The 27,802-nt window shown below is 44.7% G+C and overlaps 1 protein-coding gene across 8 annotated transcripts in view, besides 1 other annotated feature; it reads left to right on the top strand.

The window, feature by feature from the left end:
• RNF43 (ring finger protein 43) overlaps positions 1-27,802 on the top strand; it is a 65,035-nt gene that overhangs the window by 24,791 nt on the left and 12,442 nt on the right. For all 8 annotated transcript variants that reach the window (XM_047436332.1, NM_001438822.1, NM_001305544.3 and 5 more), the window contains one exon: positions 21,711-21,833. In XM_047436332.1, coding sequence (XP_047292288.1) covers positions 21,711-21,833 — 123 coding nt within the window. The remainder of the gene's footprint in view (positions 1-21,710; positions 21,834-27,802) is intronic.
• Positions 10,309-10,438: an enhancer, noted in NCBI's record as "active region_12482". NCBI's record gives its function as "activates an Ori minimal core promoter by ATAC-STARR-seq in GM12878 lymphoblastoid cells {active_cell/tissue: GM12878}" and the evidence as "EXISTENCE:reporter gene assay evidence [ECO:0000049][PMID:35858748]".

Genomic DNA, 27,802 nt, shown 5'->3' with positions numbered 1-27,802 from the left:
ACATATGGATAAAAGAGCATGAATGACATCCATTGTTGCCAAAGTTTCTTGTGAGAGCATTTTGTGCTAAGTTATATGCTGTCCTCTACATTAGGCTGTGTATGGAGATAAAGAAGCCATATAACCCCCTGTCTAGATTTTGAAGACAGATATTCCCCTTTGAGAGAATCGTTGTAGTGATAGTAGTTTTGGAATGAGTGTGTAACTGTCTTACATATTGACTTTAGATTTATACATCTTAGTTGTAGGGACTGCCATTTATTTCCCTTCCATATGTATTCCAGAGGTCAATAGGTACTTAATAAATAAGAAGTAAAAATGACTATTTTCCTAAGCTTTTCCAGCATTATTTGATGATAAGTTCATTTTTTGGTCATAAACTAGCTGGCTTCCCATTATATCTCATGATTAATATGAAGTATGTATTTGTGCAAAAAACATTTTGATAGTTCCTAAACAGATGCCATTTAGTCTCTTGGGATTCACCCCAATAAAGAGGTATTTTCTTAGCTCTCCCTACTTTATCCACTATTATTTTTGAAGTTTCCTACTCTATCCTGCTCTGTCCTGTCCTTAAGATGATATTCTTTTACAAATTGTGTGCATATCCCGTGGGGGGAAAATATACTTTCCTCCCTCCTCTGATAACTGCCCCATAATAATTAGTCCATTCTTCCAGATCCACTGTCTTAGGGGCTGCTTGCTCTATTATGTGGTGTAGATTTCTGTTTCATCTTGAGGGTCGTTTTTCTACCCCCATCCTTTAGCTACCAGCTGCAAAGACTCTTACATACACCTCCTAAACTGCTTCAAAAGGAATCTGGTTCTCCTGGCCCCAGTACTGACCTTGACCCTCTCCCCAGTCCTGAGTGGTCCTGGAAACTCAGTGTCCCCAGCACCTAATTCATGCTGATCCTCTGACTTTCTTGCTTGGCCTCTGGAGAGACAGAGAGCACATTCTGAACACTCCTCCTTTTGTGTCGGCATCTCTATGAGGTGCTTTGGAAGGACTCCAGCCAGGCATGGAAGGGCTCTTTGATAATATCTGACGGGTGGGTAAGAATTTCGGGCACCTGGCCAAGATACACATTGCCTGTAATCGTTAACTCAGCCTGTAAACAGTTCAAACGACACTGAGAGGCCGTCAGTTATTACATTAGAAGAAGCCTTTCATCTCTCTTGCTCAGAAGCCAGGGCGTCCAGCGTTGGCCCCCACTGTGGTGACTGGAGCCATGGTACTCTGTGCACAGCCACCAAAGCCCAAGACATGCAGGGACACACAATGGAACCTGCTCCAAATGACTGACTTTCAAACTTTCAGCATTGGAGCAATAACTAAATCGTTAATTTCCTTTTGTTCTGCACCTGGCTGATGCTGGAAGGAAAAAAATGTGTTGGGCGGTGTGGAATGGGGGTAGTGGTGGAGAGGTGGGATCCCTGACCAGGAATAAACAATGGCAAAGGAATTATCTGGAATTAGAAATTTAATTTTTCAGCTCAATTTTCCAGCACACACTCATGTCTGAAGGCTCATCCCTCACCCTTTTTATTTGTCCCACTGCTTCACAATCTTTCTAAGTTTGGTCCTCAGTGTACTCCATATCTCCGGTTGGCTTCACAATTACTCAGTATTACTAAACCCTGGTGCAAGGCACAATGCTGGGCCCTGGAGAGGGCCTGAAGGAGCATAAGATAACAAACATTCCTGCCCTCAAGGTGCTTACTAACGGAGCCCTTCAGATACTGTAGATATGTACTAGAGAACTCTACCTTGAGAATTTATAATAAGTGCTAAATAAGATATACAGTGAGTTTCTATGGGAGTTTACAATGAGAAAGAACAGCAGTGTGGAGAAGAGTGATCAGGGAAACTTCATTCTGTGAAAAACAAAAAGTTTCAGTCCTTTGTTTAAAATTTGCTTTTCTTTCATGTTTCTCATCCATTTTCTTTTGCCTTTTTCATTAAATTGCTACTTTCGCTAAGCAATATTGAGTATTCTAGGCACTTAGTAAACGGGATCATTAAACCTCTTTTAGAATTTAGCTGAGGAGCTAGAATTTGAGTATGCTGGTATCAAAGGATGGTGCAGGAAAACCAAGTACAACTGATTGTAAGCATCTTAATTTCAGAAGACCCTTTTCTGATTACTATTTCTAAAGATGTTCATATAGTTTTAAGGCTACTGTTACTGAAACAGTGTAGATTAGGCCACAGGTTTTAAGTAGCAGGTGAAATAAAATCCTACACTCACTGGTATTCAAGGTGAGCATCGAAGTTGCAGGTTTTACTCTTTACACCAGAATCCCAAGTGTAAAGCAGCTAGACTCTTTTGCTCTAGAAAACAATATCTTAACATTTGCCTCACTTTCTTCAACTAAAGAAAAATGATAGGGCCACGTGACATTCTTCTAGAAAATTTTTTTTAAAAAAAGGATCTACCTTATATAACTTGACTGGGGCCCTTATAACTTATTAGTTAGAAAGCTCTGATCTCATGCCTTCTGTTTTCTTTGTTTTGTATTCCATTTTGCTCAGCTTTCGGGGCACCATTTCATTCCCTTTACATATTCTGGATTTGGGGTTTGTCTCGTTCCCACCTTCCACATTTTCTTTGCTGATTCTGAATGTAGCTTTGGAGGAGCATGGATAAAATAAAAGAGTGCAGAGCTTGAGGATGAGGACATGCTGCCCTGCACCCCGTCATGTGCTCTGCTTCTGATTTACCAACTGCAGAGATAAGCAGTGTATCCTTTCTTTCATCTAAGACGAGTAATACTTTCTTCCATGGAAAAAGCAGTAGTTCAATCTTAAAAAGAAATTAGGTCCTTTAGAAGAATTGAAGCACTAAAGCAAACTAAATCAAGTTTTGTTACCATTTTGTCCAGCATTGTTGTTTGTTCAATGGTACACAGGACAGTAGTTATTTGAAAGCATGTGTTAGATCATATTTATGTAGTAGAATTGTAGAAATACAGAATTTATAAGATACAAGAAAGCTTTGAAGCTTCTGCAGATGTTTCAGATCCACTCAATTCAATGCCCTGGTTAATACTGAAGTGATATGTAAATTTAATATTATGGGGAAATAATGGAAGAAGCCCCTGTTCTTCTACCTGAACATGGAGTCTATCTTTTGGGAAATGACCAGTTTTGCATATTGGCCTCCCACTCTGGTGGTTTTCATTCTACATGTAGTAAGGAAACTGCCTAGAATTGTTTTGGTCCCTGTTGATCAACGGTTAGCAAATTTTAGCATATATCAGAATCAGTTTCAGAAGGCTTGTCACTCAAACTCCAATTCCTATTTCAAACTACCTTTAAGATTTAAATGTTCATCTCTCATTTAGTATATCAAGACTGACTTAAATTTTCCCTACTCTAGCTTTTTTCTAATTTCCCCATTTTGTTAATGCAACATCTTTTTTCCAATTCTCCAAGTTTAGAACTTTTAACTCCTCCATTTCCTTCATCCTGGTACTCCAATCTGTCAAGTACTTTCAACACTTCCTTCATAATTTCTGTAATTAATTCCTTCTCCTTTTAACTATTACTACCAGAGTTCAAGCTCTGATCGTGCAGTACTAGATTACTGGAACAGCTCTCTAATTGATTTTCCTACCACTAGTTTTCTCTTCATTGCACTAGTTTACTCTGCTATTAAATTGCTCTGCTTACAGTATTGTTTTGATAATGAGATCCCCTGAAGAATTTAGGATGATTCCTTTTTTGCATATGAGAGCAAGCTCTAACTCTCATCTTGGCATGCAGTAGCCTTTGTAATTTGATCCTACCTCAGCTATCCAAGCTATCTTTGCAGATCTATTTTTTCAGTCAGACAAGTCTTCCTGTACCCTGAAGACTTGAGAGAAACTGCTCAAGAACCTTACTTTTTCTCTCACCTGGCTCCTGGTTTCTTCTCAAGTAAGCTCAGAAGTTTGAAAAATCCATTTGACAGATCCCAGTGGACTAGATCCTGTGGCTATTTTTTTCCTGTCCAAATTCTGTTGTCTTTAAGGGTGAGCTTAAGATCCATCTCCTTGACAAATCCTGTAGGACCTATTGGCTTTACCACACAATGTGGCCTTTGATACAATGTCGTTTTGTACCACCATTTACTTTGTGTATATGTCATCTCCCCAGTGAGAATGTACCTCCTGGGTTGGACCTAACAGTTTTGGGAAGAAGATAGGTGCTCATCAAATACTTGCCAAGTAAGAGGCCATATTTCAGACCCATTCTGATGTACCTGTGAGGGAAATCTCTGTGCATGCCCATCCAGCATTGTACTCAGTGGTCACATGAAGTGAGTCTCTGTTTCTTGACAAGGATCACTTGGGAGCCATTGATATGCCGTGTCACAAAGGGTTTGGGGGAAACTGTAGCAGCTGTCATTTTAGGGAGAAAGATGGCTCCAGAAACAGGTCTGATAATGTGCAGGCAAGGAATCAACTTACTGACAGAGAGCAACTCTAGTAGTTAGGTATTTGGCTAGGAAAGGGGCTTAGCCTCTGAAGTATTTCAGGTAGGTTTTGGCTTAGCAATTACATATGCTGCTACTTTCTGAGTTAAGCCTGCCTAAAAACAAAAGTATGGCCTGATGACTGGGTGGTTACTCCTATACCCTAAGAACTCATTTATAGGCATCTGCACAGAGGTACCCACCCGAACAAACATTAAGAAGAAGCAAAGGAAAGTGCCTGAAGCATAGTCACTGTGTCAACAGAAATATCAGATAAGGTGGTTTTATGGAGGGGGTGTGTGTGGTGGGGGGAAGAGTTGATGCACCTGTGGTTGGTGATTAAGAAACTTGGTGCCACATTATATGGCACCATGAAGCCACCTTATGTCCCAGCCACCCCATGGTGGCTGATGTCATATAATTACCCATTTGCTAACTGGGCCAAGAGGAAATGTATTGGATGAAAGCCAGAGTAAGATAGTTATATCTTAGCTGAGCCATATTCAGAACTATTCGGAACTTTTTGGATCTGCTTTTGTTTTCAGTGAAGCCATTGTCATTGTCAATCTAATAGTAGTTGACTTTTATAGGTGTCCTGCACTTTGTTTTTTTGTTTTTTTTTTGAAGATGGAGTCTCTCTCTGTCGCCCAGGCTGGAGAGCAGTGGCACAGTCTTGGCTCACTGCAACCTCTGCCTCCCAGGTTCAAGCGATTCTCCTGATTCTCCTGCCTCAGCCTCTTGAGTACCTGGGATTACAGGCACCTGCCACCATGCCCGGCTAATTTTTGTATTTTTAGTAGAGATGGGGTTTCACCATGTTGGCCAGGCTGGTCTCGAACTTCTGACCTCAAGTGATCTGCCTGCCTCGGTCCCCCAAAGTGCTGGGATTACAGGTGTGAGCCACCGCACCCAGCCAGGTGTCATGCACTTTGGCGTACCTATTTCTAAGACAAATATGTTCTCATGTAAATGTATTCAAGTGTGTTCCCATGGCTCACACAAGCTGCCCAATTATGATATCTCCTCAAGCAGGAACAGGGTCCAGACAATTCCTTTTGGCTGAACTAGGACTGAACTTAATCCCAGACTGACTCAGCTTCTCTGTTAACATTGTTTGAAATTCTGATATCCCTCCAGAGGTTGTTTCTAACGAGTGCTTAGTGTGAAGTACGAATCACAAAGAAATGGACCAAAGTGGACCTGGGAGACCAAAAGCTCACGTTTTCAACATTAATTTAGCACACATTTATTGACTGCCTTTTATGTTAGAGCATTGTGCTATGCGGGATTATAAAGAAACCCCTGCCCTCAATTTAGTAAGTGAGAGTATAGGCCAGGCATGGTGGCTCACACCTGTAATCTCAGCACTTTGGGAGGCCAAGGCAGGAAGATCACTTGAGGCCAGAAGTTTGAGACCAGTCTGGGCAACATAGCAAGACCCCATCTCTGTTTATTAAAAAAAAAAGAATATAAAGCAAAAGGTGAAAATTACCACACATAGATACAAACGAGATATTTGGGGCATTTCAGATGAAGAAGAAGAGATTCTTCATGGAAGAGGTAGCATATGAACTTGCCCTTGAAGGATATATAGGATTTTAATAAGTCACAGAACAGAAATAATAGGCATTCCAAGAGAATGTGAGAGAATAGTGAGTAATCCAATTTATTTTGGACAAGTAGTATGGTACATTGAAGAGGTGGGGATGAAACTGAAAAGGTAGAGGAGAAGGGAAGAAACACATACTTTTGAGTGATTACTATGTGCAGGAACTGCTGGTACTTTAAATATGTTACTTCATTTTATCTCCGCAATGATCTTCTTGCACGGTGTTGTTGTTTGTTTTGTTTTGTTTTTTTACAGAGTCTCTCTCTGTTGCCCAGGCTGGAGTGCAGTGGCACAATCTCAGCTCACTGCAACCCTCCACTTCTTGGGGTCAAGCGATTCTCCTGCCTCAGCCTCCCAAGTAGCTGGGACTACCAGCGCGTACCACCAAGCCCGGCTAATTTTTGTATTTTTAGTAGAGACAGGGTTTCACCATATTGGCCAGGCTGGTCTCGAACTCCTAACCTTGTGATCCTCCCACCTTGGCCTCCCAAAGTGCTGGGATTACAGGCATGAGCCACCACGCCCGGCTGCATGGTGTTTTTTGTTGTTGTTTTTTCGTTTTTTGTTTTTTTAGGGACAAGGTCTTGCACAGGCTGGAGTGCAGTGGCACAGTCATAGCTCGCTGTAGCCTCAACCTCCTGGGCTCAAGCAATCCTGCAGCCTCAACCTCCTGAGTAGCTGGGATTACAGACATGTGCTAGTGTGCCCAGCTAATTTTTAAAAAATTTTTCATAGAGATGGGGTCTTGCTATGTTTCCCAGGCTGGTCTTGAACTTGTGAACTCAAGTAATTCACCCATTTTGGCCTCCCAAAGTTATGGGATTACAAGCATGAGCCACCATGCCCAGCCTCCATTTTTAAAACGAGACTTAGAGAGATTAGGTTACCCACAGCTTGGAAGAGATAGAGTTGAAATGCAAAACCGAGTTGAAATTTAAAACCAACTTATCTGATTCCAAAACCAGTACAGAGCACCGAGGCCTTGATTTGATAGGCTATGGAGTTTGAATTTAATTCAGAAGACAGTGGACAGCCACTGATAGTATTTGAACAGGGCAATGATAGGATCAGTGCTGTGTCTAGGAAGATTGTTCTTGAAATGACAGAGAGCTTTAGAATGGTGAAAGACTAAAGACTAGTTAGAAGTCTGCTGTAATGGTTCCAACTCCAGAGACATAGAAAAGATAGGTCTCCAAAGACAAGTGATGGCATAGTCTTTGCTCAGCCAGAGTCTCTAGGAAAATGGTGGTGCCGTTAACTGAAATAGGTTAAGTTAAGAGAGGTTATTGGCTTAGGGTGGAGTGCAGGGAGAATATGATATTTAGGTTTGGTATATTTAAGTTTGAGATATCAGTAGGACTTCAAATAAATAAAGTCTAACAAGCATTTTGAAGTATAGAAGATTTGACTTCAGAGACCAATTTGGAAATCATAATTAAAGATACTGGAGTGAATAAGAACCTCAGAAGAGAGGTAATAGAGATCAGAGAGTACATCTTTAGGAAACATACATATTTAAACAAGAAGAAGAGGAAGAAAAGTAAGAGGAAGAGGCAACAAGTGAGGACAATCAGAGAAGTGGAAGAACTAGAATAGTATTATGTCATGAGCAACACGTGAAGAGTCAAGAAGCGCGTATTTATTGGGTCAGAAGTAATTTAGGGCTGTTTGTCTTGCTGTAGCATCAGTCCCTTTCTTAGGAAACAACTGACACCATTAAGTTCAAACACATTCATTTTTCTATTTCAACTCTGTTAGGGAGGAAATTCAGCAATCAAGAAAACTGTTTTCCTGTTAAAGATGTGTTTGGTAGTCACATTTTTCATTTAAGCTAATGAGAGCTCTCAATTTTACTGCCAGCAAAAGAAAGCAACATTTTGAAGTATTTCTCTATGTCATTGGAGGTTTAGTTCCCAAGAAAGCTCTTGTTATGTCCGTGCTTCTGCCCTTTTACTCTGTGCTTCTTCCTGTGGTCTGTCAAGTCTCCCTTCATTAGATTTAGTACCTGAAACCGATGCCCAGAAGCCAGGTCACAAGCCCAATATGCATTGCATTGTCTCTTCAAGCCTTAGTTACCTAATTTGTGGAACGGGTGGTACTAATAAAGGGAGAGTAAAATAGCTAATGAAGGATTATAAAGCACTTTGCTAATATAAAATGCAACATCAAAGCTGAATAATAATCTTAATTTAGGGTGAAGGGTTCCATTAGCAGAGTAAAAATAAAAAGGACAAAGGGTAGTGTTGCTTTGTACCTTGATAACAGTGTACAAATCAAAAGTGCTGCTATTGATCCTCATTGCCCTGTGAACTCTCAACCCAGGAATTTGGCTCCCCTCCCTAACTCTCTAAGTACTTCCCTTACCCACTCAGTGTGGTGATGGCACCTCCCTGAATCTCCTGACAAATGCGAACAGGAACTCCTATTCATCAGAGCCAACTTGATAACTGAGAAGATTCCTCTCTCATTTATCAGCCTTTGATTATCTTTTTGTGTCTCTTACTATTTGCGCTTAGCAAGAAAAATAAAGAGGTTTGAACAATTAAGAAGTAACAAAGAGCTCATAGTTCACAAAGAGCAAGTCAAAGGATGTCTGGAATATTTGAACATACAACTGCCTTTGGCATGAGGTGGCCTACATACATTCTCAGGGGCAGGATAGGCTGGAGAGCTGATCAAGCTGCCGGGAAGCTGAAGCAAAGGCAGGGTGGTGGAATCAAATGTCTCTTCAACTGAAGACTTTAAAACTTGGGCTTTAGCTGGGCGCAGTAGCTCACACCTGTAATCCCAGCACTTTGGGAGGTCAAGTCGGGTAGATCACTTGAGGTCAGGAGTTCGAGACCAGCCTGACCAACATGGGGAAACCCCATCTCTACTAAAAGTACAAAAATTAGCCAGGCATGGTGGCACATGCCTGTAATCCCAGCTACTCAGGAGGCTGAGGCTGGAGAATCGCTTGAACGCGGGAGGCGGAGGTTGCAGTGAGCCGAGATCACGCCATTGCACTCCAGCCTGGGCAACAGAAAAAAGAAAAAAACACCAAAATGCAAAAAACAAAAAAACTTGGGCTTCAGCTGGGTGCAGTGGCTCATGCTTATAATCCTAGCCCTTTGGGAGGCTGAGGCAGGAGGATTGCTTGAGGCCAGGATTTAGAAACCAGCCTGGGCAACACAGGGAGACCCTGTCTTTACCAAAAATAGAAATTAAAAACATTAACCAGGCTTGGTGGTGTGCTCCTGTAGTCCCAGCCACTTGGGGGTTGCTGAGGTATGATCCTCCCAGGTTTGGGCCTGGGAGGTCGAGGCACCAGTGAGCTATGATTACACCACCACACTCTAGCCTGGGTGACAGAGTGAGACTCTGTCTCAAAAACAAAGAAAAACAAACAAAAAAACTTGGGCTTCAGATACATCCTCTTTTCAAATAATAAAGGACGGGGGAAAAATGTAATTCATCTCTCATCCCACCAAAGGTAAGAAAAACCCACTCAGAAAAAATATGGAATATTATCCAGAGTGAACTGATTCTAAGCTTTCCCAGAACTTTTCTGTGCAGATCTCTGGGCCAAGTCCTCATAAAATTTTGGTAGGGACTGAAGTTCACTGCAGACAGCTGACACTATGGCCTGAAGCCAGTGGGGAGCAAGAGTTTCTTTCTGTCAATACTGCAGGGATTTTTTTTAATTGTTTGTAATAGTCTCTAAATGGCTTCTCTCAAAAAATAACTTAACAAATCTGGGAGAGAGACTGAAGGGCCCAAAATGACAAGAGAGTACTTCAAAGCCATACAGCAAGAGCAAGTTAGTCCATCATTCCACATTACCCCAGTGTTTATGTGCTGTGCTCTGTGCATTCCCATGCCCTGTGTGTTGTCTAACAAATGGCCTTAAGACCCTGTGCATTGAGCACGTGTATACACTGCTGTAGCCTACAGGCAGGTGTTACTCTCCTGAGACCGGGACTCGTTCCTTTGGGGCAGAAGGCTGTTGCTTTCTTCCCCATTCAGGGTTATGCATAACTCAGCAGTACACTGATACTGAGAGGAGACAATAAAAGCATAACGGGATGGGTTATTAAACAGGAAGCTTCTCCAGAAAGAAGTGAGTTTTGTTCAGGGTTGTGGAGGAGATCTAGGCATGATGGTGAACAGGAAAGAAGAGAACTCTGCCTTGTGATGAGGTCAAGATACTCTAAAGCTGACTTTGAAACTGAAACTTACAGGGAGTATACAGAAAGTTTCTGAAGAGAAAGCAGAAATCTGAAAATAATCATATCCTGATAAAATGACAGAGCAACCACCAAATATATTTTACCTCACATCTGTTTATTAAAACAGATGATTCAACATGCATTTTTCTTAATATCTACTGTGTGCATGGCATGATGTTAAGTGATGAATAAGACCTAGTCCCTGACCTCAAGGAGCTCAGATTCTACTTTGCAGGAAGGAGGAAAGAACTAATGTTTTATTGCACTAAGAATCAGGCATTCTGCTGGAGGAAATAGGTAAGAGAGTGGGTCACAATGCAGCATTGACCCACAGTAAGAGGTAAGTGTCATTTAAGAATTTTGTATAGATGGCTTCAGGGGAATATATGAGGGAAAGTATTTAGTTTCTGGGGACTGAGGGCTGGTCAAAGGATTGGAGAAGGGCCCAATTTGAACTGGCATGGGGAGTCAAGGGCAAAAAGAGGTAGAGAGCTATAGGATTGGAGTTCTCACAGTCTTTGGATCACAGGGGGATAGGAGAGGTGCCATTTTTTTTCTCTATAGAACCAAGGAAATAGGGAAACGTCCATGGGAAGAGAAAGGAAAAATAATTTGGCAGAGAACCAAGCTATTTTCCCATCATATGTTTTCTGTAAAAGACTTCTTAGGAGCTAAGACAGTGTTTTTCTGCTTTCATTCTCTTTAATGCCTAGAATTCTGCCATAAAAGGCTATTTATATATCTTACTTTTTAGTTCCTAGGAGCGCAAGAGATGCTACTATTGGGAATTTCTAAAATATTCAGAGGATGGAAATACCAGCTGGCACCAATGCTGAGATATACAGGCACCATCCATAGAGACCCAGTGAAATTCTGAGCCCCAAATGGCAATCCCTCCCAGGCTCTCCCAGAGCCATCTCACTTTTTCTTTTATCCCCTGCCTGGAAGGCTACACTGTGGGTGGGAATAAAAATCCACTCTCCTGTTGCATCTAGGCAGCTGCCAGCAGTCTGTTTGCCTTGTTCTTTGCTGGCAAATCATTAAACAGTCCCCCCAAAGCAGGCCTCTTCCCTAGGGCCACCGCATGGACAAAGATTCAGAGCTGTGGTCAAAGGGCTGTCAGCAGTCAGGCTGGAGCCCTTGGGCTATCTCCAACACAAGCCCTTCCTGGCTGTTGCCTCTTCTGAACAGAAGCCTTCTTGGCCTAATGTCAACCCCCCAATGGCTTCTGAGGAGAGACTCTGGGCATCTGAGTTGGCTGGTGGCTTGAATAATTTTGTCCTTTTCCTCCTGATGTTATTTCTGAGTACAACTACCCCTATGATCCTTTATTGTTTTCTTTATTGAACCCCAGACCCATCCTCCATAATTTTGCCACTTTGCAATGTAAATACAATATTGTGTGTTACTGCCCAGGATCTGGGGACTGGGACTAGCCGAGCAAGCTTCATAGCTTCATTCCATCCCCACTTGCATTGTGCCAATGCAAATCTGAGCATAGAAGATTTCATTGAGCCAGCCCATTTGGAGACAGTATCTGCCCTCAAAGGGCTTCTAAGCCCCAGGGCAAGCCAGTTGTGGAAGACAGCAGTATGGAGCAGAGTTTGCAGGACACCTTGAAATCCCTACAGCCTCTGAGCAGGAGACTAAGCCTGAAAGACCTGGACTATGTGTGAAGTAACCATGTTAATGAAGCTATTTCGCACTCTTGCACTGCAATCACCAAACTTAGCAATGCTCAAGTAGCTCTGCCGGTAGTCCAGATGGGCCTCTGGCGTATTTAAATAAATGATCTGGTTTCCTTAAGTTTCATTTCTTTGGTGTTTTTCACAGGGACTGTCTGGCTTTAGTCTTTGGCCTTTTAAGCATTGAAATCTTAAATAATTACTCAAAAATAAACACTTATCTGATTCTAGTAGGTTTTCAGATTCCTGCCATCTCTGGTGTGAGCTTGGCTGGAACAGGAACAGCAAAATCAAATAATAAAGCAAACTGTGTCAAGGCTGTTTGCAAGTAGCACATTGGGTTAGGTGTGAGAGTTCAGTTAACTACTTTGTTGTGGCAAGAGTTAAGACCATGCCTCAGAAGGGCCCTAGACAAAGCCTCTATAGACCTTATCCTGGGCCTGTGGGAATTAGATATTACCCCTAGCAATACTTGCCATCTGTGTCAAGACCTCGGCCTTTCTGCAGAGGACTTCTTTGGATAAGACCTAGCTAAACAAGGGGGCTCAGTGGTACTCCTTATAAGATGGAGGTCAGTGAGGGTGACAAAGATCTTTCCTGGGACAGTGGTCAGAACTCAGCTGACTTCCCAGAACTAATTAGTATGATTTTTGGATGGTTGAGCCCTGAGTTCCTCACCTGGTGGAGAAAAGGAGTCCAGAACACATGACTGGGTTATCTTTTAAGGTCTTGATCTTCACAGGCCTCAGAACTTGGTATTCTATTTCATGGCCTTGCTTCTAAAGATCCCTGATGTAACTAAAATGATATTTGACGGGCTCCCTCTTCTTTGCTTCTAACTTCATGAGTAGCTTTCTAGTACCTTTGTAGTTAGAGGTCATTCTGACTGAGTCAGGTCAAACCCTGTTTCCATGTGAGAATATAATGATATAAAAGTTCTACTTCTTGGGTGGCTGGGATTTTTCTCCTGTCTATGATTAGTGCCAAATATACTTTCTTCTCTGATATCACTTTATTTCAAAAGCAGCTCAGATAATTAGCTCTTGTTCTCCTTACCTTCTTCCATTTGCTTACGAGTGCACTCCTGACCTGTGAATCACCATAGAAAGATGCCAGGCAGAGTGTGGGGTCAGGAGAACCCCACCATGGGGGCCGTTTTCATGTAAAGAAGCCTAGTTGCATCATGGAGCTCCAGCACAGTCTGAAATGAGGATAGGTGAATTTGGAAATTGAAGAATGGCGTCTGTAATGTGGGGTGAAGGAGTAAGGAAAATGGCAGTCTGGCTGAATGACCATTACTTGGGTCTGAGCTTCTGTGACCTCTAATTTCAGGACACACCTTTCTCATCCTAAAGCAACAGGGACTTTTCACTGGGAAAGTGTCTCTGAGCAGCGTCTGGGTCTGGCTGCCTTTGTTGTGGCTAGGAGAGGAGATGAGATAAACCGTAGAGGAGAGGAAGGAAGCCGAGGCTGGGAGGCAGAGCACAAGGAGCAGACAGATCCTGCTTCTGTCTTGTTAAGAATGATTCAAGTTTGAAAATTCTAGAAATGGGGACCCTGAAGCCTTCCACTGTGATCCCAGGCATTATATTACAGTACTCACCTAATGCTTACCATGCCACAGAAAAGCCTCCCCAGCGTGCATACCCGGAGGCAGTGTGGGGTTGAATTTAGGGGACCTCAACCTCCTTTAACTGGGTGTTGACTAGGTTGACTAACTTTAACTAGGTGGGCAATCTGTAACTTGAGTCTTGCTTTCTTCAGCTGTAAAAGACAAATTTTGAAGGTCCATTATGGGTGTGAACCAGGCTCAGCTGTTAGCAATTTACATCTCTTCTATAAACTACGTGGCAACTGGATTCAAATCAAGTTTTATTCATTCTTTCACCAAACACTAAGGGCCTATGATATGCAGAGCCCCCGACTGGAGTTTCAGTGAGCTCAGTTTTTCCCTCAGTTTTTGCCACCCTGCTTCCTATTAGATTCTGGAACATCATTTCAGTTCTATCTTGTCAGCTCTTTCGCTCACCAGCACCCCTGTTCCCCCAAGGAGGTTTCCTGAATCAAGTGAGAAATCATGGAGGCCTCTTCATCCATCCCCTGCTAGTGTGCACTCCCATCAGATGGCCCGAGGTTATGCTTCTCCCTCCCCACCAACATTATTTACTTTTGTAGCTTAAAAAATTATACGATGAAGCAGGAATACACTTTTCTGGTAAAATAATTTTTAAAAAATAGATAGCATGCTTGTAATCCCAGCACTTTGGGAGGCCTAGGCAGGAGGATCACTTGAGCCCAGGAGTTCAAGACCAGCTTGGGCAATATGGTGAAACCTTGTCTCTACAAAAAATACAAAAATTAGCCAGGCTGCTGAGGCACACCTATAGTCCCAGCACCTCAGGAGGCTGAGGCAGGAGGATTGCTTGAGCCCAGGAGGTTGAGGCTGCAGTGAGCTGAGACTGTACCACTGCACTCCAGCTTGGGTGACAGAGCAAGACCCTATCTCAAAAATAAATAGAGTAAAATAAAATAAAATAAAGAGAAACTCCTCTCGACAATTCCCCAGCCTCCCAACTTGATTCGTGGAAACTCAGTCATCTCAGAGAGATAGTGACAAGTTTATGTAAGGTTTTGAAAGAGGTCTTGAGGTTCCCAAATCTAAGCCTGAACAATCACCATTAGGATCTAACCTGTAGATGTGAGCATTGACTCCCTTCAATACAAGGCAAGGTGACCAAGCTGGGCCTCAGTGGTGGGCCTATTCTGGTGCCGGGATCCGGAAGAAGCAACTTCAGGCCAACCTGTTTTTTTCCCACCCCCATATCTGCAGGAGCTTTACTTTATGATGCCGGTGTGTCCTCCTACCTAAGATAAAAGTTCAGGTAATGGAGGTTGTGCAGGAAAGGATGATTGTAAAATCTGAAAAGAGGAAATGGGGAGAATGATGCCTTTGATGCCTGGCCAATGTTCTTGATTACAAAGGCAAAATTGTAGCAAGCAGTAAAGTTACCTGTCCAAGGCCTGGTTGAAGGTCTGTACGTGGAATCAGAGAACTAAGAGACAATTGCAGCAGAGGTCGGTGGTGGGGGCAGGAGGGGGTGGGTGGGTGGGTGGGGAGGAGAGTTCCTGGGAAACAGGAGACAGTGAAGAATTGCTTGCAGAAGCACACACCCAAAGAGGAGGAGATGCCATGGATAAGGGGAGACCAGCATTAAGTTCCAGGCCCAGTTGAGCCCTGAAATGCCCTTTGTGAGGAGGTAATGAGATCACATGGCTTCCTTCATGGGAAGGAGGCAGGCTGAGAACTGGAAGAGCTTGTTCAGTGGGGTTTGGAGGGCTGAGAACAGGAGGGAAGTGACTGTGGATAATGAGCTGTCCCAGAATGCGCCTTGCAGAACACTGGCATTCAGAAGCACTGTTGATTACCAAAGAACGGGGGAGGGGTTCAGAAAAGGCCTTGTCCCTTCCAGGAATAAGAAGGGACTTTATTATAGATGCAGTAATAAAAACAGCTGCCATTAAGTGAGCACTTACTAAGTGTCAGGCTTTTTGCTAGGCACTGATATCCATTATCTCCTGTCTACACAAAGCATTCTTGTTCCCATTCCAAAGACGAGCAATATGAGGCTCAGAAAGATTAACATGCCCAAGGTCACACAGGTAAATGATGGGGTCAGAATCTGAACTCTAGGTCTGTCTTGGGAGGGAGGGGAAAAAATCAGAACAAATAAGTTAAGGAGGACACAGGGAGAATAGACTCAGGAATATGAAATACAACACACACCACCGAAGGACAGTTCACATGTCTTTACACAGGGGGTATAAAATATGTATGCAAAGCTGAATTCTGAGTCAGAATGACCCAACTCGTGCTTGAAAGCAAGTGCCTCTTAATTTGCCCCTCATGGCAGCCTGTGAGACAGTGGTGTCCTAACTCCTGGCCTTTGAGGAAGTCAAATTCACCAAGTTTCCATGAGCCCTCCACAGCCACACCCTTCTCAAATCAGGCAAGCTCATTTCTCTTGACCCTCCCCTGGTGTCACTGAGGGGACAGGTGGCCCACTGTAGAAATCGTGTTTGCATCTTCATGATTAGGAGACCTTGCATTCCAAGGAGACAGATGTATTTGCATCTGTTTTCTCAAGAGCCCGCTTCCTGGCTGAAAATTCCTTGGAGGAAGGGCAAAGACAGCCCCTGTGTTATACCCAGGGAATGCCAATGCTGTCTTTCTTGCTAGGTGCTGAACTGAGTCCTAGTTCAAATGGCTATTATTTGTTTTTAATTTGAGAATATTTGAAAAGCTCTCATTGTAAAAGAGTCAAGCCATACAAAAGTATAATGAGTATGATTGTCATACCACAGATATAATTGTACTAGAAAGATCATGTTACTTTATTTATTTATTTTTTTTATCAAATCTAACACCAAGGTCCTATCCCATTAGCTGCATAGACATTTGTTTTCAAGGGCACTTCTCCTCATAGAGTAGCACAAAAGTCCCAGAGTTTTATGAAAACCAAGATATCCAAGGGACCCCTCTGATATTCATCCATGCTGGCCACCACAGATATGTTTCTTGTCCAAACACAGGCATTCCCTTGAAATCCACGCAGGCACATCATCTCTCCCAGGGGCCAGCCTCCTGGGGTCTAGTACTCAGTCCTTCTCCAGGGACCCACCGCTTCTGGGGCACAGGCTGCAGCTTCCCACTACTCAGCATGGCTCCAGGCCCCTCACACTGGCTCCAGACACCTCCTTCCTGCCCTCCTGGTTCTGAGACTTTGACCCCTCCCTTCACCACAGGCCCTTCTGCCTTCAGGACACTCACACTTCCTCAGTGAGTTCAGTTTTTCTGCAAAAGCCAGGAAGGGAGAACTTTAAACAACATTTGCTTTTGGCAAATGCCCCTAAGGCAAGGAAATAGAAGGTGAAGCCATCTTCTTGGAAGGGAAGGAGGGAAAAGACATGGAACAAAATATAAATAACTGTCGTTCTTTTTTATTCTTCTACAACAGCAAAAAACAAAACTCAAATCTCATGTATTATCTTCTGATCAAAGTATTCAAAGCAAAACACCAAAGTCCCTCTCTACTACCCCCTCTCTAATTCCTCTCCCAGAGCAACCATTATAGGATTTGGGTGTGCTCTGTCTTGTCTTCATAGTTAACTATCGTCAATTATCTGGTTATAGACTTCCAATATTTAATCAACAAATATTGATTGAGTGCCCACAAAGTAACAGGCAGTGGGGGGCAGGCTAGACTCAGTCATCATCTGGAGAAGAGAGGGAAGTAAGCCGACAATTACAATACCGTGGGGTAATGTATGATTAGGGAAATGCCGGACAGAGCAGCAAGTGCCAAAGGTGTTCAGGGAAATGAAACAAGTTATTATTTCTGGAACATAGGTCGCAAGGTGGGAAGAGATATAGGATGGGAATGTTAAGCCATGAGGCAGGGCCCAGACCAGGCAGAGCCTTTTCAGCTATGTTTAAGAGTACAGACTTTATTTCAGGAGCTATGAGGAGCCTTGTAAGAGCTGCAAGTAGAAGAGTAACGTGCTCAAGTTAGCATTTTAGACCACTTTGGCTGCAATATAGAGAACGAATGGGATGAAGTGACCCTAGGGAGTAGGTTATTTCGGTAAATAGGGTTGGCAGTGATGGTGGCCTGTATTACAATAGCGATAGTGAGAATGGAAGAAAGAATAAAATAAGACAAATATTTAGGAGGTAGAATTGTTAGAATTTGGCGATTGATTGGATATTGGTGGTTAGAGTGGGGGTGAAGGAGATGGAGGCTAGGAGGACAGCATCTTGCTTGGGTAATAGATGGATGATGGTTCCAATCCCAGAGACAGCAAACACTGGAGGAGCAGTTTTGGGGATAGAATGAGTTCAGTCTTGAGCATGCTGAGTTTGAGGTGTTCTACTTAAGATTATTAAGGTAGAAACGTCCAGGGTTAGACATAAGGGTCTGGAGCTCAAGAGAAGACCAAACTGTACATATGTAATCACTGACCTCTGTGTGGGCACCGTAGCCATGGGATTGGCTGCTGTCACCCAGAGAAGTCATCAAGAGTGAAAAGAGGGGGCCAGACACGGTGGCTCATGCCTGTAATCCCAGCACTGTAGGAGGCCGAGGCAGGCAGATCATGAGGTCAGGAGTTCAAGACCAACCTGGCCAACATAGTGAAACCCCATCTCTACTAAAAATACAAAAATTAGCCAGACATGGTGGCGGGCGCCTGTAGTCCCAGCTACTTGGGAGGCTGAGGCAGGAGAATTGCTTGAACCCAGGAGGTGGAGGTTGCAGCAAGCCAAGATTGCACCACTGCACTCCAGCCTGGGTGACACAGCGAGACTCTGTCTCAAAAAAAAAAAAAAAAGAAGAGTGAAAAGAGAGGAGGGTCTAAGAATCCCGGGGGTCACCATCAACATTTTAGGGACTTGTATTTGGGTCCTTATGCTTTAGTAAGATAAATTTTCTTAGTAAATGAGTTCGGGGAAGGTATCATGTTTTCAAAATAAAATGTAAATTGTTCTTAAATATTTTTTTAACCTTATCCTACTACTACTTTCCTTTTTTTTTCTAATCTCTACCACTTACTAGCTGTGTAATCTTGGGCATGTTATTTAACCTTTTAGTGCCTCAGTTTCCTCATCTTTAAAATGGGAACAATAACAATCTCTACCTGATAGTGTTGTTATGAGGATGAAAAGAGTTAATATGAAAAAGTGCATAGAACAATCACTGGCCCACAGTATTTACCCAATAAATATAAACTGTACTGTCCCCATCCTGACTATCATTAGCATGGAGATGGATGGAGGGTTGCTGGATGGAGGGTTCATTTGGAGCTCCATGGCTCCGACAATGGAGTCAGGCAGAGTTGAGTTCAAATCTTGTGTGACCTTGATTTCTCTCAGCCTCAAGCTTCTCTTCTTTAAGTGGCTATGATAGGGGTAGTGGGGAGATGGAGATGGTTAATGGGTTTTAAAAAAAAAGTTAAAATGAATGAATAAGGCCTAGTATTTGATAGTACAATGGGGTGACTATAGTCAACAATAATTTTATTGTACATTTAAAAATAACTAAAAGAGTATAATTGAATTGTTTGTAATACAAGGGATTAATGCTTGAGGAGATGGATATTCCATTCTCCATGATGTGATTATTACACATTGCATGCCTATATCAAAACATATCATGTATCCCATAAATATATACACCTACTATGTGCACATAAAAATTAAATAATTGTTTTTAAAAATGGCTATAACACCTACCTTATGGTGAAATAATGTCTAAAAGCTCTGGCACACAAGAGGCCTTTATTGATGTTTAATTTCCTTCCATTCCTTCTTCCATAGTTGTTAATTCGGAACCAGGCAAGTTTGGTGGCTCATACCAGGTTTTTTTTCCCTTCCACCTTGTCAGAGGTATCCTACAATGCAGCACTGAGCTGTAGATGCTGGTTCCCTGTTCAAACCTGGGGAAGAGTGCTGTTTAAATATCTGCAGACACACTGTAGGAACTTCTCCAAAGTGACTTTCCTCTCCCAGGCGACCCTCTGGTCAGTGAGCGGCATCTTGGAGTCATCAGGAGAAGGCTGGACCATGTGGGGAGGGTCGAGGAGCAAGCAGAGCAGAACCTTCTGTGGCTGCGATTTGTCCTTCCTCAGGGAAGGCCTCCATCTTCTGCTCTGGTGGAGCAGCTGCCTTCAGATTCCCCACCACACCAGAGTCTCCTCCACAGTCTTCAGAGAAATTGGTCTCCAGTGCAAATCTGTGGTCTCAGCTCTGTGGCCTGACTCTTGCAGATCCTTCCAGCCTTATGTCCTGCCTTCCCTTTCGTGCCAGACCTCACTGCCCACAGTCTACCTCAGCCTCGTGCTAGGCCTCTGTTCCTTGGTGCAGTGGCTTCCTCTGCCAGGAATGTGGCTCCCCAACCCCGCTCCCTTTCATTGGTCCCTGAGGTGAACACATACCTAGTTAGCCTTCCAGGTAGCTCTCCAGTCACCTCTTGTGAAAACTGCTCTGCTTCCCATATGTATTGTTAGCTGCCCCTCTTTGTGCCCTCCCATAGGCCCCTTGCATTGTAACATCACGATGTGTTTGCATGCTTGTCTTTTGAGCTGCTTTAAGGCAAGGAGCCTCTCTTACTCATCATTAGCTCCTCACTGCATTGGACAGAGCCTGACACCAAGGGGGCCTTCCGTGCTGGCAGAACAAAGAAATGAATGGATGCATGGACAGATAGAGAGACTAATGCAGCTTGTTGAGACAGGGGCTACAGCTTCACTGATGTAAGAACAACTCCACCCTCATGCCCCAGCCTTTTTCTTGGGGCAGGGGCACATGATAACCTTTCTCCCACACTAAACCTTGCTCACTACCAGACTAGTAGGCCTTAAACTCTGGGAGCAAGAATGGAACTCCTTCCTATCTCAACACCCCCTGCCCAGAGATTTTGATTCAAAGCAAGGTAGTAGATAGTTATTGAGAACCTACTATGTTCAAGGGACCGCGGTGACACAGTGAGAGGAAATAGCCTGAAAGAGCTTTCAGAAAGTGTGCTTTTAAATCCATCATTGACATTATCTTCATAAACATCTTTATAAATTCAAGATTCTCTGTGGTTCCTCTGATGGTTCTTTCTGGAAGTCCTTCAGACATCAACAGTAGTAGAGGGGGAAGTGTGGGCAGCTCTCTAATAAGAAATCTCTTTCTTGCCAGGATATGTGGGGTTTCTACTATATAGGAGTCCCTGGACCATAGGATTATTCAGGGCCAAATAAGTCATACTTTGTTCTCATTGCACTCTGACATTTTGTTTAGGGAAAATTAGATTCAAATGGGTGTACAAATCGCTGTGAATGAGAAGAGAGAGTAAGGTGGTCTCACCCCTTTGATGAGGAGAGCCTCAGATTTCTGTCAGCACGTTCTCCTTTAGTCATTGTTCAGCACCAGCTGGGCTCAGAGGCACAGGGTCTTGGACAGGATCTGCCCTTAGAGCAGATGGGCTGGGCTGGCTCCACCTCCACGGCATCATTCCTGGGACCAGGGTGAGCTGTCAAAGCTTATGTCTTAGCCAAGCCTCATTGCAAGATAGTCTCACCTCTCTGTCAACACCATGCTTGATCCCAGGATGGGTACAGGGCAGAGGCAAAAAAGGGGCTAGTGAGAGAAGCAAGGTAGCACCGAGTGAGATGACCCAGCCTCCTGAGAAATGGGAATCTACAGGGCAACAGTTGCCTGGGGGCATCCCGAGGAGGCAGGAGGCACCAGCAGCATCCAGCACTGCCCATGGGCATTCTGAAAGCACTGATGCAGGCACACATGGATATTCTCTTAGCCTGGGGCTTGGGGAGCAGGTAGAAGGATCAGGAGGTAGAGAGGCTGGGGCCAGGAGAGGAGCCCTCTGCGTCTGGCCAGTTTAGAGAAGTAGGATTGTTGGAGTTGAAGGTTGTTAGAGTTGCTTTGCAGCAAGCTCTTCATTTAGGTCCCCTCTGGGACACCCTCTCCCTCCTATCTGCCTCCACTACCTGTGTCCTTGGCCCCAGCATCCTGAAGTGACAAACAGTGGTCACTAGCTTACTAAGAGGCAATCCAATCATAAGGCCTACTCTTTTACAGCACCAAGAGACCTGCCTGGTACCTCCCTAGAAAAATGGAGAGGTATATGGCTCTCACAGCTCACTCCTGCTGCCTAAAGCCTCCCTAACCCAAGTCTGTCTCTCTCTGCAGTCCCACCCGCTGTACCTGTGCAATGCCAGTGATGACGACAATCTGGAGCCTGGATTCATCAGCATCGTCAAGCTGGAGAGTCCTCGACGGGCCCCCCGCCCCTGCCTGTCACTGGCTAGCAAGGTAGACTCACACTTCGCCCTACACACACCCGGAGCTTCACCCAGCTCTGGGCTGTGAGAAGACCCTGTGCTCTCTTGTCCCCATGTTTCCTAAGAGTGATGTACCTGATTCCCTTGGGTTTCCCTAACCCATGACTGGTCTGAGAGAAGTGGAAATTCACACCTCTGTTTTTTCTCCTCCGACTAGCACCAGCAGGACTTTTTGACCTTCATCCCAGCATGCTCCCCATCCCACCTCCTTCCCATCACTTGGGAGTTCCTGAGTCCCTTCCCCTGCTCTGCACCAGAGCAAAGAAGGGGTCAATTGAAGGGATTTCCATCTTTTAGAAACATACACTGAGCACTGTGCAAGAACAGCAGAAATAGAAACCATTGCCCCACCCTTAAAAAGTTCACACTTTTCCCCTGAGGTTGCAAACTGGTGGCCCATAAGCTGGGTTTGGCTTGCAGACATGTTGTGTTTAACCCTCACAGCGACTTTTCAATGTGTATATTAATTGCCACATTTAAAAATTAAAAATGTTTATATAAAAGCTGAGATTTTCACTAGGCGTGGTGGCGCACGCCTATAATCCCAGCACTTTGGGAGGCCGAGGTGGGTGGATCACGAGGTCAGGAGATCGAGACCATCCTGGCTAACACAGTGAAACCCCGTCTCTACTAAAAATACAAAAAATTAGCCAGGCGTGGTGGCACATGCCTGTAATCCCAGCTACTCAGGAGGCTGAGGCAGGAGAATGGTGTGAACCCAGGAGGTGGAGCTTGCAGTGAGCCGAGATCGTGCCACTGCACTCCAGCCTGGGTGACAGAGCGGGACTTTGTCTCAAAAAAAAAAAAAAAAAAAAAAAAAACTCAGATTTTCAGCTTCTTTAGAAGAAACCTGCAAAGCACATTGCTGCAGGCCATGGTTTGTAGGAGCTGGGCTGGGGCTGCCCCTTTTCCACAGCTGTGGGCCTTCTCTTTTGCTATGCTCCACCCTGACCTGCTACCTCACAGGACCTTTAGACCTTTGCCTGTGACTGCTGCTTTAACTAACAATAGCAGTTACTGTTTTCTATGTGCTTACAATGTGCCATGTGGACATGGGACAGATTCTTTGTATGTATGATCTCATTCACTTTTCAGGACAATCAGGAAAGGTAGGCATTATTATTCTTCATTTGATGTATGAGACAAGTGAAGATCAGAAAAGTCAGGTAACTTGCTGGATGACACAATTAGGAAGGGGTGGAGCTGAACTTTGAATCCAACCCTGTCTGTTTCTCAAAACTAGGCTTAATCTATCTGTGGCCTCCCTTCTAGCTGGAAAACTGAACATACGTGTGGAGTGTAGTCAGATTGTGTGTGGCACACACGGGTATGCCCCCAAGGGTGGTGAGAGAGGAGAGTGACACTCCCGGCCTTTGTGTTAGCTTGCTGTCTCAGGCCCAGATCCCTTGTGGATATCCTCGTTCTCCTGGGCACAAGGAAACAGCCTGGGTTCTTACCTCATCCCATGGCAGGCAGGGATGTGGGCAGGATTCTGAATGTGGGTGAAGATATTCACCTGGCCTGGCCGTGCTGACAAGGAAGGGGACTCCAGAGATGGTGGGAAGCAGGGGGTCAGGATGCACTTGGAGGAGCTGGGGAGTGTGGCATCTCTGCAAGGCTGTGAGCCTTCATGGCAGCAGAGTTGTTAGGCTGCAGCTGCCTGCCCTACTTCTGGATGTTTCATTTCTCTTTCCTTACAAAATATGGGCAAATGTCACTCATTTATTCATTTGGTAAACAAGTTCCCAGTGCCTGTACTGCATTACATAGTGAGTGTGTGTGTGTGTGCGTGTGTGTGTGTGTGTGTGTGTGTATGAGAGAGAGAGATGGGGAAGAAGGATTCCGAGAAGCTTTGCTGCTATTGGTGGGAGCTGGGCTGGGGCTGCCCCCTTTCCACAGCTGTGGGCCTTCTCTTTTGCCTGTTGCACCCTGGCCTGCTACCTCACAGGACCTCTAGACCTTTGCCTGTGACTCCTATGAGTCTTTGAGCTACCTGCAATATTTCAGAGGTTCCACGGGCTTACCTCAAGTACTTGGTTTTGTTTTGGTTGGAATTCTGTTAGTTCAACATGTTAATACAAGTTATCTCATGAGAAAATAAATTGTAAGTAATAAATATAGTTAGTTTGGTAGAACATCTGTTTTTCTTTTTTCTTTTTTTTTTTTTTTGAGACAGAGTCTTGCTCTGTTGCCCAGGCTGGAGTGCAGTGGCTCCATCTCGGCTCACTGCAACCTCTGCCTCCCAGGTTCAAGTGATTCTCCTGCCTCAGCCTCCTGAGTAGCTGGGATTTCAGTTATGTGCCACCATACCCAGCTAATTTTTTTTTTTTTTAACGAGATGGAGTCTCGCTCTGTTGCCCAGGCTGGAGTGCAGTGGCGTGGTCTCAGCTCACTGCAACCTCCGCCTCCAGGGTTCAAGCAATTCTCTACCTCAGCCTCCCAAGTAGCTGGGATTACAGGTGCCCACCACCACGCCTGGCTAATTTTTGTATTTTTAGTAGAGACAGGGTTTCACCATGTTGGCCAGGCTGGTCTCAAACTCCTGACCTCCAGAGTTCTGCCTGCCTCGGCCTCCCAAAATGCTGGGATTACAGGCATGAGCCACTGCACCCAGCCGAACATCTGTTTTTCTTAAAATGTGACTCATGAGAGGTCTAAGGGAAAGATGGGGTCTTAGGGGAGGGAGAGTTTGGAAACCACTGACCCCTGCAGCTCTGCTCTCTGCTTTGGCTTTTCCTGTTGGTGTCAATGGTGTTGTCACCAATGACAGAGCTGGGGCTCTCAAGCCAGATAGCCCTGGGCTTGCAGCCTGACTCCTCCACTGCCCCTCAGTGTGACCTGGACTTTTTTAGCTCACCTCTCTAAGCCAGCCTCTATTTCCTCATCTGTAAAAGGGGAATAATAATGGGACTTGTAAGTAGTTAGGAGGATTTAATGAGACAGTACAGATGGAAGTTTTTAGCCCCATGCCACGTACATGGTAACCACTCAATAAATGATTGCAATTATCATTACTATCATCATCACTGGCATCATCATTCCGTGCTTTTGTAGTTAACAAGGTTGCGGTATTTTTCCTTCCATTTGTTATCTCGCTTATTCTTTTCTGAAACCCTCACCATAATTCTTCTGGAGGCTTCCATTCTTGTCACCACCCCACTATCCCCTCCACCCTCTGTCCAGTCACCCAGATTGGTTTCTGTTTCTTTATTAGCAGCTCCACAGCCATCCTGGTGATAAGCCAGAGCCTTATCACCTCATGCCTGAACTAGTGCAGTGGCCTTTTGCCTGCTAGAAGGAGCTAGATCTGGAGAAAAGCAGATGGGTGCAAGCCCTGCCTCTCTTACCATGGAGGCCACTACCTGGTAGTAAAGAACAGGCAATCTGAAGGCTGAGGTCCTGGGTGCAAATTCTGCCTCCACTGCTTCTCAGTTGGTGACCCTGGGCAAATTATTCAGTTCCTCTGAGCCTCAGTTTCCCACCTCAAAAGTGGGGCTGATGACTATCTTATAGAGTTTTGAGGAGTAAATGAAATCACATGTCGGAAACACATAGTATTAATAATAGTTGATATAAGGACCAGGTGTGGTGGCTCATACCAGGTGTGGTAATCCCAGCACTTTCAGAGGCTGAGGCAGGTGGATCACGAGGTCAGGAGTTTAAGACCAGCCTGGCCAACATGGTGAAACCTCATCTCTACTAAAAATACAAAAATTAGCCAGGCGTGGTGGCACGCACCTGTAGTCCCAGCTACTGAGGAGGCTGAGACAGGAGAATCGCTTGAACCCAGGAGGCGGCAGTTGCAGTGAGCCGAGATCACACCACACACCACTGCACTCTAGCCTGGTGACAGAGCGAGACTCCGTCTCAAAAAAAAAAAAAAAAAAAATTAGCCGGGCCTTGTGGTGTATGCCTGTAATCCCAGCTACTCAGGAGGCTGAGGCAGGAGAATCTCTTGAACCCGGGAGGCGGAAACTGCAGTGAGCTGAGATTGCGCCCCTGCACTCCAGCCTGGGCAACAGAGTGAGACTCTGTCTCAAAAATAATAATTATAATTATAATAGTTGATATAATAATAACTAATGCTTAAGCAACACCCCGTGCCAGGCACTATTATAAATGCTTTGTGTGGATTCGTTTATGTAGTCCTCATAACAACCCTATGGACTAGGTCCTGTTATTATCCCAGTTTACAGAAAAAAACAACAGACACAGAGTAGTGAAGTGACTTGACCCAAGTCTCACAGCTAATAGTTGGTATCAGAGCCAGGATTCACCCCTAGGCAATCTGGGCACTGGATCTCAATAAAGGTTATATTCCTTCTCCTTCCTTTCACCCTTAACTTTCAAGCCCAGAGGAATCCCACCTTTGCTACTGAATCTTTCCTGACCAGCCCAGGCCCAGCCAGCCCAGTAGGAGCAGAAATCCCTCCCTGGGGGCATGCCTCCAGAGGGTAGGGTGTCTGTGCATGCTTTCAACACCATCTTCTGCTAAGTCCAGGTTTCAGGGACGCACCTGGTGCGTGGAGGGGAGAGGCTGAAGGTCCTTCCTGTCCCCACCCCTACCTCAAAGTAAGCAGCCTCACTTTTATCTGCTTTCTATATTGAACATTTGTGCCAGATTGTGTGTATGTGTGTTGGTGGAGGGGATAGTAGAGGGGAGAGCCTTCTGGAGTGAAAAAAGGTCTGGAAGCTTCCGTTTCTATTCCTTTGTGCTTTAGAATATTATCAGCGTTATAGCTTCATGTATGTGCCTTGTCTCCACAACTATATTATGAGCTGTTTTGGAGGGCCTGGCCTTCTATGGCTTGGTGCCCTGGGCACGGTAGGTGCTTCATTTTTGATGAGCAGAAGATATACAGGGACTCTTGTCTGGAGAAGAAAATCTAAGGCCCAGAGAAATGCAGCAGCTGACCAGTGAGTCCTGCAAGTAAGAGGCAGAATTGCAACTCACTCTCATTGCTCTCTCTGTAATGGCTCCTGTTGCTAGAGGCTGTGGCAGCCTTGCCTGCTGCCCCTAGGGCTGGCCAACTCTGAAGCTTCCAAAGAGCTCTTTGGATTCTTTCTAAAACTGCCTTCCTGTCCTGAGGGCCTGCCTATCCTCTCTCTGCTTTCCAAATTCCAGTACCCAAATAAGTACTTTTTTCCTTTTTGCCTCCACTTACTTTCTTGGGGGCAGGTGGACAAGAGGCATAGATAGCCCTAGATTGGACTGCTATCTGTCCCCAAATCTTGCTTTTTATTCCTAGAATTCTGGACACAGGGACTCACTGTCTGAAAGTCCTGTTTGTTTTCCCCTGTTGGCCAGTGCTCTGGGCTCTTTGATCACTTTTACAACTTTGTAATTATGGGCTGTAATGGGCTGGAGTGTTTGAATGTCACAGTAATTGCCTTCCACTGTTCCTACCCCAATTCTTCAAAGAGAGAGGGGAGGGGAAATAACAAAATCTCCAAAGAAGAAAGTCTTTGCCCTTCCTCATGCTCTTCCAGGCCAGGGTGGGTCCAGGGTCTTGTTCTAGGGGTGTGAAAACTGAGGCCTGGGAGTCCCAATTCTGTGACTACTGGGGTGACCTCTCCTGTCCTTGGCCAAATCCCTGGAATAGGAGATCACCAGTAGGGTTCCCTACCAGGGATTCCTTTTCCCCTGGTACTTCTCCCTTACCCTTGTTAGGAGGGTTCTGAAGATTGGAAAGTCTCTACCTGCCTGGAGTAGCTTAGATGGGAGGAAGTGAGTAGGGAAGATGGAAGCCATGAACCTCTCAACTCCTTCAGCACTTCCATTCTGGAATTGACTGGTCCTGTGAATTTCTAGTCAATTAGCCTGGTAAGCCTGGGCCCTAGGCTGGGCCTAGCTCCTGGGGGAGGAAGGAAAGTTACCTTCCTGACCAAAACAGGGCCCCGCTTGAGTGTCTCCTCTGCCTGCAGGCAGTGGGTTCTGAG

The sequence above is a fragment of the Homo sapiens genome, chromosome 17 (genome assembly GCF_000001405.40).
Source record: "Homo sapiens chromosome 17, GRCh38.p14 Primary Assembly".
In the NCBI taxonomy this organism is placed as follows: Eukaryota; Metazoa; Chordata; class Mammalia; order Primates; family Hominidae; genus Homo; species Homo sapiens.
The sequence above is the reverse complement of the archived record's forward strand: the minus strand, read 5'-3'. Positions and strand labels throughout refer to the sequence as shown.